Raw genomic sequence first — 19,067 nt, 5'->3', positions numbered from 1 at the left:
GAAGGCATCATGAGGCCTGCTGCAGTAGTCACAGCCTGATAAGTAGACAAGCACAGGTTTGGAACTGATTTGAGTTTTAATACCAATTTTGTTACTTACCACATTGATGAATCTGAGAAGGCCACTTACACATTCTGAGTCTCAGTTTTTTCATCTATAATATGGGAAGACACTACTACTTGCCTTACAAATTTGTTGTTAGAATTAAGACAACATATGTAAAATACCTAGTACAGAAGCAGGCAGATAATGCTCGCTTAAGAGATGTTAGTTCCCAGCATCATAGAAAACACGTATCAAAGTTACTGCAATAAAAATGTTGAAATTTACTACAAACGTTCTTCGGATTTTCCTTTCTCCTTACCACCTTTTGCTTTTATCTCTTTCTCTGGCTATTTAATCCTAGTAGTTTCCATTGAAAATAATAGCTCCCATTATTAGAACATGTACTTTGTTCTAGTACTTTACATACATTATCTCTAATTTTGACAGTTATGAATCAAAGCAGGTAGCAACCATTTTACAGGTTGGGAGACGTGTGTTCAGAGAGATTAGTGACTGGTCTACCCTGTTAGTATAAGACAAAGCCAGGACAGCATTTTGATGCAGCTGGTGGGGGAGGAGAAACCCCAGTGGCGTTGTTTACTGTTGGAATTTTTCTTTCTCAGGAGAATTATGAAAGACATACTGTTGTTTTAAATTTCAAACCACAGTTACCTGTGTAACTAAAGAACCTGTAAGTCCCTCAATAGGAAAAAGTGGAAACTGACCCAGAGGATGCCAGACAGAAGGATATATCCAATTGCAGTTCTTACCAGCATACAGGTAAGAGAATGTTCTTGAACTTCACATAGGTTAATCCAAAATTGAGATTTTTAGATGAAATTAATTCCAATTAAATTAAAAAAATACTTTAGAATTATGGAGGTAGAAGGTGAGATGCAAGCTAAGTGGACTTTTCTTTCATTATTATAAAAATGTGCAAAGCCCAAATATCTACCATTATCTTCACGAACCCCTTTCTCCCTTCCCACTGCAATCTGTTTTTTCTTTTTTTAATATAGGTGATCCAATTCTGATCTGCTTCACTGTCTTCATTAGGGCATAATGAAACTATTTTTGTTCCTATGGAAACATAAAAGCTGCAAAGACATGTCCGAGGATGTTGGTTGCAGTCTGTTTATAATAACAAAAAAGTGCCTGTCTTTATTGCTGATGTCCAGCAATAATGGGAGTATTTCCCTAAGTGGAATGCTATGCTCCAGCTAAAAGAAGAGATAGGGCTATAGGTACTAACATAGGATGATGTTGACAATATATTCATATGTTTCAAAAGTTAAGTTGCAGGATGATACTTAGGATATAACCTTATTTTTATATAAAAATAAAGAGAAAAGAATTTTTATAAAGGAAAAACCTAGAAGGAAGAACACCAACCTATTACTAGTGGTTATTGAATTATCATTTGGAGTGGTATCACAAAGGACTTTTTTTGCTTTAAACATTTCTATATAATTGTGAGATTAGGGCCTTTTTTTTTTAAACAACGAGCCAGTTTTATTTCTATATTCAGAAAATAAAATTAAGATTTTTTAAAGTTGAAATTCACATCAAATTGATCAGTACTCAAGAGGGTATGATAAGCTATTAATTGATATTGTTGTGAATATTAGTCTCTGTATTCTATATACTTTGTCCTGTGTTTGTTTCCACAGCCCAGAATCATTTTTCTAATTATTGACTGTGTGTGAAGTTTTCCCCCTTGCGTAACAGCCTGCTGGCCTTGGAACCCAGCCACTCTGTCTCCTGATGTACTGGCGCTTCCTTTGTCTTAACTTGGAAAGATCCCACCCAGGGTATTACAGCCACTTTGTTCTTCTATCTGTAAGATATCAATATCACATCTATGGTTCCCAAGTACAATTAAAGCAAGATTAAGTTTTTAAAAAATTGGCCAGGTACTGCGGGTCGTGCTTGTAATCCCAGCACTTTGGGATCACCTGGGGTCAGGAGTTTGAGAACAGCCTGGGCAATATAGCAAGACCCCATCTCTATTAAAAATAATAATCATAAGTTTTTTTCTCCCTGAATATTTAGATCAGATACTTACTTTACCTTCATTCTCTAACATGTATTCTGCACCTGCCTCTTGCCAAGCACTTGATAGGTGAGGCACAGTCTTTGTGCCAAGGTGCGGAAAGCATCCTGGTAGAGACAGACAGGTGGGCAGCAAGAGTGACAACACAAGGTGACACCTGTATTGTTACATATGCTGTCTTAGAACCCAAATGTGTGTCTGTATTAGATGCTGGAAGGGCAAAGATGAGTAAGATATGATCCCTGACCTCTAGAGGCTTATAGTCTAAGCAGATATCCAATAGAAATATGATACAAACCATACAGGTAATTTACATTTTTCTAGTAGTCACATTAAAAAAAGAAATAGAAGAAATTAATTTTAATCATATATTTAACTCAATATTTCTCTAATATTATCTTGTTTAATTTTTATTTTTTCTGTTTCTCTTTTTTAAATTTTTAAAAATATGTATTTATTTATTTATTTGCTTATTTTGGGGACAGCGTCTCACTCTGTTACCCAGGTTGGAGTGCAGTGGCTCAGTCATCGTTCACTGCAGCCTCAACCTTCTGGGCTCAGGCAATCCTCCTGCCTCAGCCTCCTGAGGAGCTAGGACTATAGGCACCTGCCATGATGCCCAGCTAATTAAAAAAAATTTTTTTTAGATACAGGGTCTCCTTGTGTTGCGCCAGGCTGGTCTCAAACTCCAAGTGATCCTCCTGCACCTAGGCCTCCCAAAGTGCTATCATAACAGGTGTGAGCCACCACACCCAGCCTATAATATTATTCCACCATATGATCAAGAGAAACATGATCATTGAGGTATTTTATATTATCTCTTTCATACTATTTCACATGTAGTATGTATCTGATATTTACAACACATCCCTATTCAGACTAGACACAGTTCAAGTGCTCAGTAGGCATGCGTGGTCAGTGGCTACCACATTGAACAGGGCAGATCTAAGGGGAAGATGAACTTATAAATAGATCATTTTGCAACAACATATTCAGAGCTCCCATAGGGCATGCCTAGCCTAGGTTGCGGTGGGGGATAGTCCTCACTTACTGGGGTGGGATGTGTGGGGGAGGGGGGAAGGGTCAGGGAAGGCTTCCTGGAGGAAGTGGCATGTGATCAGAGGTAGCCAGATGCACTATGGGAAGACCATGTTTAGAGGTGAAATAGACCTGAAGATGTGCTCAGTGGCTTCAAACACTGCAGTGCATGAAGGGCTCATCACTACTTTGGTGGTTATAGCTTAAAAAGTAAAACAGAAAAACATAATTTTTTTTTAAGGGACGCTTTTAGAAGATAGGACAGGAATGAGGTAGAAGGGGAAGTGCAGAGGAAGGCCAGTAAAGAGGGAAGCTTTACTACTCAAGGGTAAACTTGACCTGAGACCAGAAACATGAGGAGCATTTTGCCTGGGCAGTGCCCAGTTAGTGGAGGGCAGGCCGGATTTCAGCCCCTGGTGGGCCCCGCAGCCAGGCCTTTTATGGATTCCATGGGCTGCACAAACTTCTATGGTGGCATTCATTCTGCTGTTCTGTTATGCTGCTCCCTCTTAGGCTGGGCTGTTTCTCCACATTTGCATGAAAATAAGTGTACTGGAGCTGGTTAGAGAATGTGACTCTGATTACTTTTTTCTGGGGTTTGTCTGTAGGTATAAGTTTCTAAGTGTGCTTGAACCTTGCTGAAGTGTCCCATAAGGACCAGGGAAAAATACAGTCCATGCCTTCTGGGGGCCTGTCTTTCCAAACACTAGCCTTAAACTGGCACTGCCATTTGAAGGGCATCTGTGCTTACAGACCTGGAGAAGGAATGCCACGTGTGCTCAGCATGTGTCTAGGCTGCGGTTATCTGAGCAGGACACCAATCCACTGTGCAACCTTCGACCAGTCACCTTGCCTCTGTGCGTTTCCTCTCCTCCTCTGTGAAAGTTGAGGTTGGGATAGATGACAAAGCTCACGGTGTTGTGACTAGGAATCTGTAACTAACTGGAGCAAACTTGCCCTTAGCAAACAATGCCCTAGGCTGTCCCCAGTCTACGGCCCCCAACCATGACACACACAAAGCTGAACATTTGGTCCTCCCAACCTCTCCTGAACAAGTGCTTGCTGAAACCCAGGGAAATCCGGTTTCAGAAATTTCCTTATGCAACAGTTTTTCCTCACTTTACGCTGCTGGTGCTTTAAGAAACACAATATTGGCAAAATGGATTATGCTCAGAATAATTCCTAAGAACTGGATGGACCAGTTTGGTGAGAAGCCCAGGGCACCTTCAATTAGGGACTGGCATCTCTGTCCTCCCCCAGTGCTCCCCTCTCACTGGGGTGTAATGGGATGACAACCAGGAGTCAGGCTAGGTCACAGGATGAGAAGTATGCACTGGCTGAAGCCGCCTGGGACAGCTGTAGAGTACCCTCGCCTTGGCCTCGGCTCACTGAGGCTTTAATAATGCAATAATAACCAGCTTCTAAAGCACACAAGGCTTTTAGAAAGAAGGACATAAAAGCAACTTTGTTCTGTTCTTGCCCAGAACAGCACACATCCACAGGTGTTCCCACAGAAGCTGGCCACGTGGCTGCGGCTGTTGTTGGATTTCCCCCCTTCTCCCTTACTGAGGCGCTATAGATAGCTTAGAATGAAAACGGCACCCAGAAGAGACACTTTAAAAAGAGAGGAGAAGGCCGGGCGTGGTGGCTCATGCCTGTAATCCCAGCACTTTGGGAGGCCAAGGCAGGCGGATCATGAGGTCAGCAGTTCAAGACCAGCCTGGCCAACATAGTGAAACCCCATGTTTACTAAAAATACAAAAATTAGCCGGGTGTGGTGTCACACACCTGTAATCCCAGCTACTTGGGAGGTTGAGGCAGGAGAATTACTTGAACCTGGGAGGCAGAGGTTGCAGTGAGCCCAGATGGGGTTTGAGGGTGGGGAGAGAAAGAAAGCAGAAGAGGGAAGAGCAGACTGGTGAGCTGGATGTGCTTTCTGCTGAGCGCTTCTCTTCCAAAGACTGCTGGCCCCTGCAGGGTGCTGCGTCCACTCCATCAAAAAGTCATCATCAGCCCGGTGTGACCCTTACTGCAGTCAGAGCGTGGGTGGCTGCACAGACAAAACCATTTCTCCTCCATGCTCTGCATTCGGCAGGCCTCATCACTGCGTATCCCGCGGAGGGGCAGCCAGTGCTCAGCTCACCCTCCCTGCCACTGGGACCCTGCCCCGCCTCCCTCCTCTCCAGCTTCCCCACCCCCACTTGCCCAAATGCCTAGGTTATATAGTGGCTTCTTCATCCCTAGTTCTTTCATTTTGTTCTTTGCAGAAGGAAAACCCCTCTGCTTAGGGTGGAAACCACTCTCCACTATGTAAAGTCCAAATTGAGAACTGGATGGTGGATGGGATTAACCCAAATGGACCCACTTCTGCCTCTTGTGTTACAGAATGAGAAACAGAGGCCAGAGAGCAAAGTGATGGGGCCAAGGAGACATAGCTGGGGCCATGTTGGGAGCTATTAAGCCCTATGTTTATTGCTATGTGTGTGCAAAAACAACAAGGTGCTTTATTTATAACCTCAATTGTCATCGTAAGGAGTGTGGGCCCTATAAACTGTGCTGGGGGAGGAGTGGGCCTTTATTTAAACTGTATTGTGGGTTGATAAAGAAACACTTGGTGGCTGTCCAGCAGTGGAGGAATTTGCAGAACATGTATGTCTAGTAGGTCTTTTTTTTTTCTTTAATTATTTGCTGTGGAGTCCTTCTTCTCTCTCCCTCATGAAACTGTCAGGAGATTCTCCACTGTTCATTAATGTTCTATGAGTGGATCTTGGCGAGGCATTCAAAGAGTTGCTGAGATCTGTGTCCAAGTTGACATGCCATGAACAGACAGCTACTACAAATGCCTGGTGGAGAGAATGAGGAGTCAGCTGTCACATGTCTACATGTGACATCTGGGTGCTACATGGAAGTCCATAGGGGGCTGACAGCCCTTGTCATAATGGCCTATTTAGAACTGATTTTGAGTTTGCACGTGGTCTTATAGCTGTTTCCAGACAGTCAGAAAGAGTTGCAGCATTTCCCACAGCTGCATGCTAGGCGAGATATCTTTGGCTGTCTTTCTCAGCTTCTGGGCTGTCTGGACGGAAGCCTCCCTCAGGCCATTCTAATTTGCAGTTCCATTTACCAGTGGGCTGCTTTCATGTTCCTCTCTCGGCCAAACATTACTCCTACATGCTCACTCCATCATTGTGGGGCTGGGACAACGCATGCTTCAGCATTGGAAAATGGAATGTCTTTCAAAAAATTCATTATTTTAAAAATACTATATTGATGGCTCCTGCTTCCTGTTCCAAACTGCTGTGGTTTCCTATTGCCTATGATATCAAGTCTGAAGTCTCAATCCTGTTATTTAAAGTTGTTTACTTTTTGGCTTTAACTCACATGCATTCATTTATTCATTCATTCACCAAATACCACTTTGGCCTACAAATTTAAGGTGCTCCAGTAGCTTTTGTCTCCTACTTAAAATAATTTCCTTTCTACCCTTCCCTGAGGAGTCCATGAGAAATTTCATCTTTATGCTGCCATCCATACTAACCTGGGCTCCTGGATTTCTCTTTCCCTCTGCTCTGCCTAGTCGAATCCATTTCCTTTAGCTCTTAGCTAGCAAGGAATAGCACTCAAACAGTCACCTGGAAAAGAAGTTCAATGAGTGGCTGTAAGGCTATACCTGGATTTAGACCAGAGCTGGCAAGATATCAAGTTGCAAGGCAGATCCAGGGACTAGCTGCTCCACCTCTCTTGTTTTGGCTGAATGGTCTCTATTTTTCTCATGCTATTGTCACTTATGTGGAGTGTTTGCTCCTCTATTGACCAGCTCGTTCTATCTACTCATGACTTTGGCTTACTTATGGTTTTGGCTTGCCCTGGACTCTCTGGTTCCTCCGTTACCTTAAGGTAATACTGGAGGCAAGTCTTTTAGCATCTGCCTGTGCTGCCAGCTCTCTCATTTTGGTTTTTCAATTTCAGATTCCAGAAGGGAATCTGGTTGATGCAGATTATCTTTTTATGTGGGTCCAAGTTGTAGGTCTCAGGCTGCCCAAGTATGAACCACACCCTTGGATCAGACGCTCTCTCTGGTTACTCAATCTTGGCTGGTGGACAAGGATCCAACTCTCTCAGTGGGGACCGGAATTGGGATATTTCCATATGGGTAGCTTCAGGCATGAGCTGGCACACACCTTGATTACAATGGCCTTGAAAGCCTAGCTCATGTAATTGCTGGGCATAGTGGCTTATGCCTGTAATCCTAGCACTTTGGGAGCCTGAGGCGAGCCGATCACCTGAGGTCAGAAGTTCAAGACCAGCCTGGCCAACATGGTGAAACCCCATCTCTATTAAAAATACAAAAATTAGCCGGGTATGGTGGTGCATGCCTGTAATCCCAGCTACTCGGGAGGCTGAGGCACAAGAATCACTTGAACCTGGGAGGTGGAGGTTGCAGAAAGCTGAGATCATGCCACTGCACTCCATCCTGGGTGACAGAGTGAGACTCTGTCTCAAAAAAAAAACAAAAAACAAAAAACAAAAGCCTAGCTCAGGTCATATGTCCTCTGTATTTCTCTTCTCAATTACCTCTTCACTTATTTAGTATTTATAATATTGTATTTTTAGTTATTCATGTCCATGCATTTGTCTTTTGTAACCTAGATGATTAATAACTTAAGTTCTGAAACTTAGAAGCCCAAGAACCATAAAACCAAGGCTAAATGACCTCCTAACCTGAATTCTTAGTGGCATTATGATTTCAAATATTCTCTAGTACTGTCCCTGGAAATTGTTGAAATATTTCAAGAATTCCAATGTTTTTGAACTTTTGTCTGCTTCTCAGAATATCTCATATGTGGAAGTGACACAAAAATTTTATGTCTCAATTTTTGAGGTTGAAAACATGGCTGCTGTATTTCCTAAATGTGGTGATGGAGGGTAGTTGACACTGGAGAGAGAATAAAGAAGCAGAATGTTTGGTTGGGTAACTCATTGACTATAGGGGAAGAGGAAGAGTATAAACTTTATTAATAGAATTACCCATGTTTTCAGCTTGGGTGCTTAGATGGAAAATGGGAAGAGAATTCTAAAATCATAAAAAGGGGGGAAGGTTGAATGTGATCCATATTTTATAGACCTTCAATATTACATTGATAATATTTATTTAGTGCTCACTCTTCATCATGCACTGGGCTAGGGCAGTTGATACCAACATGAATAAGACAGAGTACCTGCCATTGAAGTGTTCTGTCCAGAGGGGGAGATATTTAGAAAAACAAAAGATTATAATTTAATATAATGTGCTAAGTACCATAATGAAAAGAGACTCGTGCAAGATATAGTGGTAGGCCAAAAAGAGGAATAATCTAGACCTCTTGGGAAGATCATAGGAAATTTAAGAGGAGAAGACACTTAAGAAGAGCTGGGAAGGATGATCAGGTGATTGGGGAGGGCATTCTTGACATCAGAAATATCTTTTGAAAGGTCGAGATAACACTCAGAGGACTGATAGGAAATGAAGCTGAGATCAGATCCTAGAGAACCTTAAAAGGCAAGCTAGTGAGGCTGGGTTTTATTCTCCAGAAGAACGGGAGCCATTGAAGAGTTTTAAGCATGATAGTAAGGTGGGCAGATTTGCAGTTATAAAATGATCACTCAGGTAGCAGTGTGAAGGATGAATTAGATGGGGATGAGACAGAAGGCAGAGAGCATGGTTAGGAGGTTGCTGCAATAGTTCACCAGAGAGATTAAGAAAGTTGGATCTGAGGGAGCTGCAGTAGTGAGAGAAGAGAAGAGAAGGCTGGAGAGATGTTACAGAAATAGAACGCATAAGACTTGGCAACTGACTAGATGGAAGGATGGGAAAGGAGTCCTGTGTAATTGGGCAGATGGTGATAATAATATCTAGAACCAAAAATACAGAAGTTGGTTTTGGACAAACTAATGTTCTCCATCAGATTGCTGTTTCCCTGAGAACAGGGACTGTGTTTTATTCACTTTTACATTACCTGTACCTAGTACAGTGTATGGAATGCCTACTGATTAGAGTTTTGAGCATGTGGATTTAAAACATCTGAGGGATATCCGGGTAGACACATCTAGTACTCAGCTTTGAAATTCAAGTGAGAGAGAGATCTGAGCTGGAGAGGCACATTTGGGAATCATCATATATAATGATGAGTGAGCTCACTAAGGGAGTAAGACCAAAGGATGGTTGGGTAGAAGACCTTGAGTAATAGCAATATTTAAGGGGCAGGAAAAAGAAGAGGAACCATTTGCAAAAATGAGAACATGGTGTCATGGCGTCATGGAAGCCAAAGTGCAGACAGTATGCAGAACATGGAAGAGGTAAACAGGATCAAAGGTCACTAAGAGGTCATAGCTCCCAGGAAGTATCAACGCAGTTAACTGGCTGGGCTCTGGCCTCAGAATAATAGATTGCCATTCTAGCAAACCCAGTCCACGTAGACAGTCTCAGGCCCACGGCCTCACTTTCCTCATTCAAGAAGCCATAGCATCAGAAGACTAAATCTGTCCTGCTTTTCACACAATGCTCTTGTAAGGGTTGAATGAGATAATATGGTAGCAGCTCATAAAATTTTTGGCTTCAGGACTACTTTATACTCTTAACTTATCAATAACACAAACAAGCTTTGGTTTGCATATATCTGTCAAGATTTTCCATATTATAAATTAAAATAAGAAATTTTAAAAAGTCAACTCATTTAAAATTAGCAATAATAAACCATTCTATGTTAACATAAATATTTCATGAAGTATCACTATATTCTCAAAAACAACTTAGAGAAAAGAGTGGCATTGTTTTATAGTTTTGTAAATTTCTGGAATGCCTGGCTTATTAGAAACAGCACTTTCTCCTACCTGCATCTGCATTCACTCTGTTATGATATCACATGTCATGTAACCTCTAGAAAATCCTATTGTACTCTTATGAGAGAATAAAAGCCACAAAGGGCAAATAACAACTTGGTATTCTTATAAAAATGGTTTTATTCTTAAGGATCACCTGAAAACATCTCAGTGATGCTCAGATATTCCCAGACCACAGTTTGAGAATTGCTGATGTATGTGAATTCACGTTGGAAGCTAGAAAGTTCACAAAATGGTGTTTTGATCACCCTGAAAACCTATACCCTGGGAATCAAAAAGGAATCTCTCTCACGTGGCTACAGTTTGCCCCCAGAAGAACATTGTATATGAATAACATTGTTCCAAACAGGCCAAGATAGAGTTTCTAGTGCAGATTTCTTACTTTCTCCTTCCTGGCAATTAAATGAAAAATGTAAATGAGAATGTGCTATAAAAAGGCAGGCTGTTAATCCAAACTGTAAGTTAAGATCTTGTTATTTCCAGGCCAACCACAAAGAAAATAACTCTCTCTCTCTAAATATACATATATATCTCCTTGCTCTCTCTCTCTCTCTCTCTCTCTCTCTATATATATATATACGTATATATATATATAGCGGCAGCAGCAAAGAAATATTTTGTGCTAGAAAATATCTATTTAACACAAAAGAAAACAGAGAATCAGTAATGAAGGAATAAAGGAACAAAAAAATACGCAAGGTATATGGAAAAATAAACAGCAAAAGCACAAATTAAATTCTACCTTGTCAGTAATTACTTAAATGTAAATGAACTAAACTTCAAGAAAAAAGCAGAAGTTGGCAAAATGGATTTTAAAAATCCTTAATTCAATTATATGCTGTCTAGAGGAGACACACTTTAGATTCAAAGACACACATAGGTTGAAAATAGAAAGGTAGGAAAAAATATAACATGCAAACAGTACCCAAAAGAGAGAGAAAGCAGACAGAAAAGAAAGTAGTAAAACTGTCTTTATTTGCAGATGACATGATCTTGTATAAAAAGAAATCCTAAGGAATCCCACTAAAAATTATTAGAACTAATAAACAAGTTCAGAAATGTTTCAGGATACAAGATCAATATACCAAAATCAATTGTATTTTTATACACTAGCAATGAACAATCCAAAAATGAAATTAAGAAAGTAATTCCATGCACAATAGAATCAAAAAGAATAAAATATTTAGGACTAAATTTAATAAAATTAATGCACTACTTGTACACTGAGAAATGCAAAACATCATTGAAAAAAGTAATAGAAGTTTTAAATGAATGGAAAGATGTACTGTGCTCATGGATTAGAAGGCTAATATTAAGATAGTAATATTCCCAAAATTGATCTTCAGGTTCAGTGCAATCTCACTCAAAGTCCCAGCTGCCTGTTTTTTGTTTTTTTTTTTAAAAAAAACATATATAGACAAGCGAATTCCTCAACTTCATATGGAAGTTCAAGAGACCCAGAATAGTCAATGCAATCTTGAGAAATAAGAACAAAGTTGTAGGACTCATATGTCCTGATTTCAAAACGTACTACAAAGCTATAGTAATGAAGACAGTATGGTACTAAAATAAGCATAGACACATAGATTAATGGAATAGAATTCACAGTCCAAAAAAAAGTCCCTTACATTTATGGTCAATTGATTTTTGGCCTGGCTGAAAAGCCAGTTCAGTGGGGGAAATAATATTCTTTTTAACAAATATGCTGGGACAACTGGATATTCACACACAAAAGAATAAAGTTGGGTCCCTACCTCACACCATATAAAAGTTGATTAAAAATGGATCATATACCTAATGTTAGAGCTAAAAGTATAAAACTCTTAGAAGGAAACATATTTGTAATCTTTGTGATCTTAAATTAGGTGATTTGTTTTTAGATATGAAATCAAAAGTACAAGCAACAAAAGAAAAATAAGTAAATAAGTTAAAAATGTTGGTGCTTAAAAGAACACTTTTAAAAAAGTAAAAAGTTCACTCACTAAATTTGCAAATTATATCTTTGATAAGGGACTTAGTTCTAGAATATATAAAGAACTCTTACAACTCAACAATGAAAAGACAATCTAATTAAATGAGCAAAGGATACAAACAGACATTTCTTCAAAGAAGATATGCAAAAGGCAATAAGCACATGAAAAGATACTCAATATCATTCACTACCAGAGAAATGTAAATCAAAACCACAATGGAATACTGCTTCATACCCATAGGATAGCTATAATTAGTGTTGGAAAGATGTGAAGAAATGGGAACCCACATATTACTGGTGCGGATGTTATATAGTACAATCACTTTGAAAATAGAACAGATAGAATAGTAAAGAATAAAGGGATATGTAGAATAAAGAACTCTTCTTTCTGGCAGTTCCTCAAAAAGCTAATCATAGAATTACTGTATGACCCAGCAATTCCACTTCTGGGCATATAGCAAAGGGAAATGAAAGCATGTGTTCATACAAAAAATGTACCTGAATGCTCATAGCAGCATTATTTATAATAGCCAAAATGTAGAAAGAGCCTGATTTTCCATTAACTGATATACAGATAAATAAAATATGACACATCCACACAATAGAATATTATTTGGCTATAAGGAAAACGAAGTACTGATACATACTACAATGTTAATCAACCTTGAAAACAGTATGATGTAAGTGAAAGAAGCCAGACACCAAAGACACTTATTGAATGTATTCATATGAAATGTCTAGAATAGGCAAATCCATAGAAACAGAGTAGATTAGTGGGTGCTAGGGCTGCAGTGGGTAATTACTGCAATGACTGTGATTTCTTTCTGTGGTGATAGAAATGTTATGGAATTAGACAGTGTGATGGTTGTAAAACTTTGTGAATATATGAAAAGACACCAAATTGTACCATTTAAAAGGGTGAATTTTACTGTATGTGAATTTTATCTCAATAAAGCCATTTTTTTTTTTAACGCTAGGTGTTTTTGCACTTATCAGCAGTGTTACTTTTGTCTTCTTCCAGCCCATCCTCTATCTTTGTTGCCATAATCTATACAGTTCCCAGGAGTCTAGAAGTTTGCTTCCAAGGAGTCCAAATCTGAGTTCTTTCTAATTTGGACTGTGGATGAAGATGCCGGTGGAGGTGGAAAAGGGATCAGAGGATGGAGTTTACATTGTGATTCTCTCCTTGAGCTTTGGCAAGTCACCTTGTTTCTCTGAACTTCAGGTTTCTGTTCTGAGAATAAAAATGACCCTGGCCCTATGCACCTTTCAGGGTTGTAAGTGACAGCAGATACCCTGTGAGCAATCTACTTACTAATTAATCCTTACTAAACTGTAAGCACTTCACAAATATTAGTCTTCATGATCAGGATTTCCATAGCTTGATGCCAGGGTTTAAGGATTATGAGGGGAGATATAACCATCATCCCAGGCCTCTTTAATCACAAAACCCTAAGGAAGAACTGCTGGATCTCAAGTTTTACTATTGTTGCCCTGAGCTGCCTGGGAAAAATGGTGATACTCTCTAGCGCCTGAGAGATGGCTGTTATTATTTTAAGTGTTTATTTAGATTATCTTTCTTTTGAGGATTTTCACTTATTCAACCCACTGCTTTGCTTTTTTTTGTTTATTTATTTTTGGTGTTTAAAAGCATTGTTTATGAAAGCAAGGCATTCTTGAGCTTTGATCAAACGTTGATACATGTGGATCATGGATTAAAGATTTACTCAACAGAATGATTCCTGACTGCCTTTCTAGAAGGAACACAATGGGTAGCATAGATTTTAATGTCAGCCTGGGTTTAAATTCCAGTTCCACGACTTTCTAGCTTTAAGACCTTGAGCAAATTTCATTATTTAACATCTGTGAGCCTCAGTTTCCTTATCTATAAAACAAAGATTTCCAACTTCATTGGATTTTTGTGAGGATGAAAAAAGACGATACTTAGCCCAGGGTGCAGAATGCAGTAAGAAGTTAATAAATCTAGCTGTTATTACTGGGCCTGGACAATGAGTGATCAAGGTCAGAGTCTCAGCTTAGGAAAGAGGGTGGCAGGGCTGGCTTTGGCAAACTGGAAGGAAGAGGATTTGACAGTTATCAATTGCCTACTTTGTGCCAAGTACTTTTCCATATGCTCTGTCCCTTGATCTTCACAACTCTGAAATAGAGCTATTAATTCATATTTACATGTGACAAAACAGAGGCTCAGAGAGATTAAATAATTTGTGTAAAGTCACACACATTATTAGTTGTCTATTTGAGTCCAAGCCTGACTGATTCCCAAGTCCAGGGTCTTTCTTTTATTCTGTGTGACCCCAACCCTTTCATGTTGCCTTGCATGGGCCCCATAACTAAACTGGACTGCCCATTCCCAAGTACCTTCACCTGTCACATCTCTCTCCTCCTCTTGCCTCCACCCCCAACCCAGCCAACCTCTGGATGCATGCCTCGCTTTCAGGTGTTTCAGGCAGAGCAGGACTTGCATGTGATGGGATGCTGTAGAGCTGGCCAAGGGCTGAATGAAGGGTTGAACCAGATTAACAAAGGTCTCTCCAACCTTATTCATCTTTCAAGACTCCTATCAAATGCCTTCTCTGAATCCTCCAGGGGGAATTAGTTCTTCTTTCCTTTGTTCTCCCATAGTATCTTATCTAGACCTCTGTTAATATATTTACCATTTTATTTATTTATTAATTTTTTGAGACAGAGTCTCACTCTGGTTGCCCAGGCTGGAGTGCAGTGGCTTAATCTTGGTTCATGGCAGACTCGACCTCCCTGGCTCAGGTGATTCTCCCACCTCAGCCTCCCGAGTAGCTGGGATTACAGGCATGCACTACCATATCCGGCTTTTTTTTTTTTTTTTCTTTTTTTTTTCTTTGTATGTTTAGTAGAGACAGGGTTTTGCTACTTGCCCAGGCTGGTCTCAAACTCCTGGACTCAAGCAATCCACCTACCTTGGCCTCCCAGAGTGTTGGGATCAGAGGCATGAGCCACCGCGCCTGGCCATAATATTTAAACCATCTGTTTATTTGTCTTTCAAGCTGAGTAGAGTCTGTATCTTTCCCACCTCCTAATCTGCACCCTCAATTAAGAAGTATTTAATGGAGGCTAGATATGGTGACTCACACCTGTAACCATAGCAGTTTGGGAGGCCAAGATGGGAGGATTGCTTGAGACCAGGAGTTCAAGGCTGCAGTGAGCTATGATCACATCACTGCACTCCAGCCTGGGCAACAAAGTGAAACTATGTTTCTAAAAAAAACACAAAAAACAAAAAACAAAACAAAACAAAAAACAAGAATTATCTAATGGAGAGCTTCTAAACATTTTTCCAAAAAGTGAAAACAATCCAAGTGTTGATCAACTTATAAATAAATAAGTAAAATGTTGTATATTGATACAATGGTGTATTGTTTGGTAATAAAAAGGAATGAATTACTGATAGATGCTGAAAACATTATGCTAAGTGCAAGAAGTCAATCAAGAAAAGGCTGCATATCATATGGTTCCATTTATGTGAAATGTCCAGAACAGGCAAATCTATAGAGACAGTAAATAGTTTACTAGTTGCCTAGGGCTGAGGAGGTTGGGAAGAAATAGAGAGTGACTGATATGGGTACTGAGTTTTTATTAGGGGTGATGAGACTTCTAAAATTGGTTGTGGTGATGGTTGCACAATTCTATGAATATAACATAAACCTTTGAATTGTACACTAAATAGGTGAATTGTCTAGTGTGTGAATTATATTCCAAAAATACGGTTTTATATATATCTTATATAAAATATATGTAATTCATTACATATAATATGTATTTTATATATATAATAAACTGAGTAGAGTCTATATGTTTCCCATCTCTTAATCTACAGCCTCAATTAAGAATTATTTAATAGAGGCCAGGTGCGATGGCTCATGCCTGTACCCAGACTTTGGGAGGCTGAGGCAGGCGGATCACCTGAGGGCAGGAGTTTGAGACAAGCCAGGCTAACATGATGAAACCCCCGTCTCTACTAAAAGTCCAAAAATTAGTTGGGTGTGGTGGTGGGCACCTATAATTCCAGCTACTTGGGAGGCTGAGGAAGAAGAATTGTTTGAGCCTGGGAGGTGCAGGTTACAGTGAGCTGAGATCGCGCGACTGTACTCTGGCCTGGATGACAGAGTGAAACTCTGTCTCAAAAAAAAAAAAAAGATGTGGTGGCCTCCATTTTATATATATATATATATATATATATATATATATATATATATATATACACACACACACACACACACATATAAAATGTAATATATTAAATGGTCTCCATATATGTATAATATATATTATATATAGTGTATGTATATTTGTATACTATATATAAAATACATATTATATATTATATATAAAAATAGTATTATGTTATAGTAGTATATGTTATATATGTACTGTTATATATATAACAGAATACAACAGTATTATTGGAATATAATTCATATACTAGACAATTTATATATATATATATATAAAGCTAAATAAAGGGGAGAGAGAGCACATAGTTTATTCAGCAAAGGAAGGAAGTTCTTCATGGCTGGATCATTGAGCACAAGGAGAGGAGTTTGAGAAATGAAGCTGAGAGAAAGGAAGGGGCTGGGTCTCAAACGGCCTTGTTGAGCATGTTAAGGAGTTTTGATTGATTCCAATCCGAGGCCATGGAAAGATTTGCAAGGGTTTAAATAGAGGGATGACATACTCAGATGCACAGTTTAGAAAGATCTCTAGGGATGTGGGTGAAGGCAGGTCTGGGGAAAGTCAGCCTGGAGGCAGGGAGACAGACATAGGGGCCTTGTCACAGGCACCTGGGTGAAAGTCAACAGTGGAAGGAATCAGGGACAGTGTAAGTAGAAGCCATAGGTCTTGAGTGTGGTTGGCTGTAGGAGATGAGGATTGATGAGGGGAATGAAAGCTGTGTTTCAGCAAGGAGGAGTGGTTTAAAGTGTGGAGTTTCAGGTGCAGCCTTGGCAGGCTAACTGGCAGTGGCACAGATTAATATGAATCTCAGGACAGAGAACTGTGTTCTTGGCAGTGAAGTGAAGTCCTTGACAAGTGAGACAGAACAGAGGAGGAGGAGTTGAGTAAGGTAAGGAGACAAGAAGGGCTGGTCCCGTCTAAAGTGTTCCTATTGTTCTTCTCAGGATGGTTCTTTGAGGAGTTTGGTTTTCAAGGAATGGTTGGTTACAAAAAATAATAATAATAATACAAATTAAAAAAATAAAGGGAAGGACTTGGCTGATCTTTCCACTTTTTGTGGCTTACAGATTTCTTTCAAGTGTTGGCTCTGAATTTCATAACTTTTCTTTGGAGCCTGGGTTTCTTTCTTTCCCTTCCTTGAATCCTTTCTCTTTCTTTCTTTGCTTTCTCTTGTTCTCTTTGGTTTTTAAATTTAATCATTGACGGTGGCTAGGACCCTCTTGTGGGGAAAGTCTTTTGGTATTTGATCTGAAGCAGAGTTTTGGGATATCAAGTCCTGTGTTCTTCCAGGAAGGTTCCTGGAGTGCTCAGCTCAAGTGACTGCTGAAACGCTAGAAAGTTTTCTGCCTCACGGTTCATTAACCAGAAACATCCATTTCTTGCCTATCTCCAGGAGCCTGTTACTTCACTCAGTGTAAAAGACTTTGAAGTTTAGAAGTGGTAGTGCAATCCTTAACATAAGTCCTTTGAAAACCACTTTGGAAATCTGTTGGGCAGTATGCACCACGGCTGAACATGTGCATTCCCTGTAACCCAGCAAAGTCACTCCTAAGTATAGGCCCCACAGAAACCTGGACATATACTCATCAAAAGACAAGACTTGTAGTTGCACTATGGGTAATAACTATAAGCTGGAGAAAAACCAAATACCTATTGATAGTTGAATGGAGGAATAGATTGTGGTCTCTTCACACAATAGAATACTATACAATAGTAAAAATGAACCATCTACAACCACACACAAAGATATTGAGAGGTGACAACGTGCTAGCAGCCCTCGCTCACTCTCTGTGCCTCCTTGGCCTCGGTGTCCACTCTGGCAGCGCTTGAGGAGCCCTTCAGCCCGCCGCTGCACTGTGGGAGCCCCTCTCTGGGCTGGCCGAGGCTGGAGCTGGCTCCCTCTGCTTGTGGGGAGGTGTGGAGGGAGAGGCACTGGCAGGAACCGGGGCTGCGCACAGCGCTCGCGGGCCAGAGCAAGTTCCGGGTGGGTGGGTGCAGGCTTGGTAGGCCCCGCACTCGGAGAGGCCAGCCCATGCCACTGGCCCCAGGCAATGAGGGGCTTAGCACCCAGGCCAGCAGCTGCAGAGGGTGCGCCAGGTCTCCCAGCACTACTGGCCTACCTGCACAGTTCTTGAATTCTCGCTGGGCCTCAGCCGCCTCCCTAAAGGGCACGGCTCGGGACCTGCAGCCCGCCATACCCAAGTGCTCTGCCATGCCCAAGCGCTCCCCCTTCTCCCCCAAGTTCCCACGCAGCCCCAGCCTCCCCGACCGGCCCCACCCCCTGCTCCGGGCACCCAGTCCCACTGACCCTGGCATGGCCCTGGCATGGGATCCACCAGGTGAAGCCAGCTATGCTCCGGAGTCAGCTGGGGTCTTGGAGAACTTTTAAGTCTAGCTGGAAGACTCTACATGCACCAATCAGCACTCTGTGTCTAGCTAATCTGGTGGGGACCTGGAGAACTTTTATGTCTAGCTAGAGGATTGTAAATGCACCAATCAGCACTTTGTGTCTAGCTAGAGGATTGTAAATGCACCAATCAGCACCCTGTCAAAATGGACCAATCAGCCCTTTGTAAAATGGACCAATCAGCTTTCTGTAAAATGGACCAGTCAGCAGGATGTGGGTGGGGCCAGATAAGGCAATAAAAGCAGGCTTCCCAAGTGAGCAGTGTGCAGGCAACCCACTCAGATTTTTTTCCGTGGTGTGGAAGCTTGTTCTTTCATTCTTGGCAATAAATCTCGCTGTTGTTCGCTCTTTGGGTCCGCGCTGCCCTTATGAGCTGTAACACTCACCGTGAAGGTCTGCAGCTTCACCTCTGAAGCCAGCAAGACCACAAACTCACTGGAAAGAAC

The 19,067-nt window shown here is 40.7% G+C and overlaps 1 long non-coding RNA gene across 4 annotated transcripts in view; it reads left to right on the top strand.

Annotated features, from left to right (window-relative positions):
- The window catches only part of LOC105378920 (uncharacterized), a 58,385-nt gene that overhangs the window by 19,811 nt on the left and 19,507 nt on the right, over positions 1 to 19,067 (top strand). For 3 of the 4 annotated variants that reach the window (XR_001738197.2, XR_947728.3, XR_947729.3), the window contains exon 3: positions 669 to 825. This is a non-coding gene — a long non-coding RNA (uncharacterized LOC105378920). Of the gene's footprint in view, positions 1 to 668; positions 826 to 1,715; positions 1,989 to 19,067 lie in introns of those variants that run through there. The other variant, XR_947730.2, reaches the window with a different exon arrangement.

This window comes from Homo sapiens, chromosome 1, assembly GCF_000001405.40.
Source record: "Homo sapiens chromosome 1, GRCh38.p14 Primary Assembly".
In the NCBI taxonomy this organism is placed as follows: Eukaryota; Metazoa; Chordata; class Mammalia; order Primates; family Hominidae; genus Homo; species Homo sapiens.
This window is presented reverse-complemented; position numbering and strand designations above follow the sequence as displayed.